Source organism: Homo sapiens, chromosome 10 (assembly GCF_000001405.40).
Source record: "Homo sapiens chromosome 10, GRCh38.p14 Primary Assembly".
NCBI lineage: Eukaryota > Metazoa > Chordata > Mammalia > Primates > Hominidae > Homo > Homo sapiens.
The window spans coordinates 32,385,303-32,389,946 of record NC_000010.11 but is presented as its reverse complement, the minus strand read 5'-3'; positions in this window follow the sequence as shown (position 1 = coordinate 32,389,946).

Genomic DNA, 4,644 nt, shown 5'->3' with positions numbered 1-4,644 from the left:
TAAATAGTGTTCAACTAGAATTTCCTTTTGCTAGTGAGAAACAATGAGGCCAATGATGGCAAGTCAAAAATCAAGGGTGGTCACGTCAAGAGGTGATCGTGTACATGGTAAAGGTAGCAAACGGATGGCTGCCACTGGGGCAATAGGTTTGTTTTTTGTTATTTTTTTTTTAAGTGTATCTAAAGTGACCACATTTCCTGATTTTCCCTGTATTTAAAGCAATCATATGTATGTCAAGTGAGCGTGTTTTCCGGATTTTCTAACCTGTTATCTCAGTACAATTATTATTAATTTATTTTCTTGAGACAGAGTCTCGTTCTTGTTGCCCAGGCTGGAGTGCAGTGGTGTGATCTCAGCTCACTGTAACCTCTGCCTCCCAGGTTCAAGCGATTCTCCTGCCTCAGCCTCCCGAGTAGCTGGGACTGTAGGCACACACCACCATGCCTGGCTAATTTTTGTATTTTTAGTAGAGACGAGGTTTCACCATGTTGGCCGGGCTAGCCTCAATCTCCTTACCTTAAGTGATCTGCCTGCCTCGGCCTCCCAGGGTGCTGGGATTACAGGTGTGAGCCATCGTGCCCAGCCAGTACAATGATTAATCGTGCCATTTTCACTCTTGAAAATGTCATAGATTTTACTATAAGTTGTATGATCACACTATCTATAGCACAATCCCATATTATTTTATGCTCCACCTCTCCTCTTTCAATACCTCTTCTCCCTCATTCCCTGGGATTCCCACATCTTTGTTTTTGCCCATTGGCTATCTTTCTCTGTTTTCCAAGTGTTTCATGCTCCAGCATTACCCCCAATTCAATATTCACCCCCCATAACACTATTCATTCAACTCAGATTATCTTGGTGTATTCGTTCACTTTCACACTGCTGATAGACATACCCACAACTGGGTAATTTATAAAGAAAAAGAGGTTTAATGGATTCACAATTCCACGTGGCTGGGGAGGTCTCACAATCATGGCTGAAGGCGAAAGGCACGTCTTACATGGCAGCAGACAAGAGAAAGCTTTTGTGGGGAAACTCCCCCTTATAAAACCATCAGATCTCATGAGACTTATTCACTATCACAGAACAGCACAGGAAAGACCCGCCCCCACAATTCAATTACCTCCCACCAGGTCCCTCCCACAACACGTGGAAATTGTGGGAGCTACAATTCAAGATGAGATTTGGGTGGAGACACAGACAAACCATATCACTTGGTAAATGATCCAAAGCAAAAAAGCAATCTTACCATCTCATTTTAAGTAGCCTATACTTGTGCTATGATTTTATAAAACATTTAGAATTATAGAGGGGAGACAGTTTTCTAATGCTTCTTGCAAAATCTCTGCCCTTTATCAAAGTAAGGTGCAATCATGTTAATTATGTAATCACTCCTGTCTGAGTTATTTTTGTGAGTGCTATTATATATACTTGTTCAGTTATATAATAGGGATTGCTGACTTGGCACCCTTTATTCTGAAAGTTTGCCAACACAAAAAGAAGTACAGGAAAAGGCACTGTAAAGAGATCCAGAGAAACAGGACTACAAGTGGTTGGGATACTCTTTGCTACACATTTTCCGAATGGCCAGTAATGAGTGTATATTACTTTTATATTACTTTTACCATCTGGTTAAAAAAATGAATACAATAGAAGAGAATCATACACAAGAAATTAATAAAGGTCATTTGGACTGTAGTTATTTTTATCCATATGAAAAAGCTGAAAGCTTGATTTGATGTTAGATAATGGTTGACTAGTTATAAATCTATGTATTTATATCACAGATACGTTAAATACTGCTTTTTTCAATGGTCACAGATACATTAAATACTGCTTTTTTCAATGGTTAAAGAGTTGAAGTGGCCAGGCATGGTGGCTCTAGCCTGTAACCCCAACACTTTGGGAGGCCAGGGCAGGAGGATCATTTGAGGTCAGGAGTTCAAGACCAGCTTGGCCAACATGGTGAAACTAGAAAATGCAAAAACTAGCCAGGCATGGTGGTGCATGCCAATAATCCCACCTACTCAGGAGGCCGAGGCAGGAGAATCACTTGAACCCAGGAGGCAGAGTTTGCAGTGAGCTGTGATTGCGCCATTGCACTCCAGCCTGGGCAACACAGGGAGACTCCATCTCAAATTAAAGAAAAGAGTTGAAGTGAATCTTCACACTGGCAATCCAGCTTTGGAAGAACTGCCTCTCTTTTACTAGTTAGCCTTACTGACAACGTAAAGGCCCCATGCTCCTAGTGTGAGGTCCCGTATGGTGTTAACCCAGCCAGTCAGAAAACAGGTGCTGCTTCTCTGCACCAGCTACTCTAAGCACCTGAATTTCTATTGCAATTGTCAGTTTAGGGCTATTCAGTCTCAAAATATAGCTGAAAACAATGCCCAAAGTGTTATTTTAATGCACTACTGTACAAAGACAATAGGATTCGTTAATAATAACTGGCTAAATATTAAGAATACAATAAACCACCTGCATGGATTCTGTTATTAATGTCAACCCCCTCTCCCCACTCCCTCTAGTAAGGAATTATAAGAACCTTTAGCTAGACATAGCTAGGAAAGTTATTTATGATTTGATTCGATTAAACTCCTCTTCCTTTGTCATCCTGGGCCTGAATTATTTGCTGACTCTCTTTTTGCTCCAATAATGATTCATATTCCGTAAGAGTAAATGGCCTTTCTTGTATCACAGCTTTAATGATCTCTTACAGAAAATTCTGTCTCCCTTTCTGTAATTGCTCAAGGTTTATACTTTAAGTGAAAGGCTTTACCAACTGTGTTTCTATTGCTACAGCTATTCCAGTTTTTCTTTCACCTCATAACTCCGTGCAATGCTGAAATTTTAAACAGTATGGTTTCTGTCAATGTATGAGTTTTCTCATCTCTACCCTGCATTGGGACATAGGAATGGGGTAGGAACAGCCAGGAGAAGGAGTTCAATATGGTGTTTTTTTTTTTTAAAGAGCAAAATGCATAACTTTCATTGAATACTAGACGAAAAATTCTCCCTGGTGCTTTTACTTAATACTTCCTTAATACTTCCTGTATCATATTACAAGAAAACCTCAACCTAGAGTTTTGCCGTTTAACCACTTCATGTCCACTAGGTCTACTATAGTTCAGTTACCACAGAGCCTAGAATTCTGATAAGCCATGTACAAATGAGAAACTTGAGTAATGGCTGAGGTCACTCAACATGTAGGGCTCATAAATGCAGTCAGATGGCTGCTGCTGGTGAAGGCATAGATATCGCCGTAAAATAAGAACGTGGAGCCGGGCATAGTAGTCCTACCTACTTGGGAGGCTGAGGTGGGAGGATTACTTGAGGCCAGGAGTTTGAGGCCAGCTTGCACAACATAGCAAGACTCTGTCTCAAAAAAAATTTATATATATATAAGAATATTGAGAGAGTGAACACTGATGGAATATGCAATTTGATATCATTGAGTGTCTGCAACATGATTACAGGGAAACATATAAACATAAGAGCACCATTTTTTTGTGGTAGAAATGGGCGGCTGTCTTAGGTATTCCGCATAATCGGGGCACTTAGAATAAAAAGATTATTCAGGCCCAGGTGCCGTGGCTCACGACTATAATCCCAGCACTTTGGGAGGCCAGGGTGGGCGGATCACTTGAGGTCAGGAGTTTGAGACCAGCCTGGCCAACATGGTGAAATACCATCTCTACTAAAAATACAAACTTAGCTGGGTGTGGTGGTACATATAATCCCAGCTACTCAGGGGGCCGAGGCAAAAGAATCGCTTGAACCCAAGAGGCGAAGGTTGCAGTGAGCCAAGATTACACCACTGCACTCCAGCCTGGGCAACAGAGGGATACTCTGTCTCAACAACAACAACAAAAAAAGATCATTGAATATTTTTTTAAATGAATGATATCTGTCCAGCTTTTCAAACAATGTCTATATTCAAATTATCAGATGCCATCACTGTCCATAATATATTAAAATAGTTTTCTTTAGCTAGGCATGGTGGCTCACACATGTAATCTTAGTGCTCTAGGAGGCCAATGCCAGAATATCACTTGAGCCCAGGAGTTTGAAACCAGCCTGGGCAACATGGTGAATCCCCATCTCTACCAAAAATACAAAAATTAGCGGGGTGTGGTGGCACGTGCCTGTGGTCCCAGTTACCCGGGGAGGCTGAAACAAGGGGATCTCTTGAGCCCAGGAGGCAGAGGTTGCAGTGAGCCAAGATCATGCCACTGCACTCCAGCCTGGGTGACAGAGCAAGAACCTGCCTCAAAAATAAATAAAAAATAAATAAATAAAATAATAAAAAATAGCTTTAATTAAGGGATAACATACATATAATAAAATATATTTGGTGTACTAATCTTGATGTACAGTTCAATCTTTTTATATATGTGATATGTGTACATATGTGATACATACATACATATTTCATGTATATGTAACTGCAACCCAGATAAAGACAGAAGATTTCTTGCAACCCAAAAAGGCCCCTTGTCCTTGCTTTCAGTCTGATACTACACAGCAGCTTAAAAGTAGCTGATTTTTACAAATAAAATACTTTGAAGATTACTCACACTAATTTTATTAGAAATTGCATTTAGTTGTGAATAGGCCCGTAAAAGAAAGATTTACATGGAG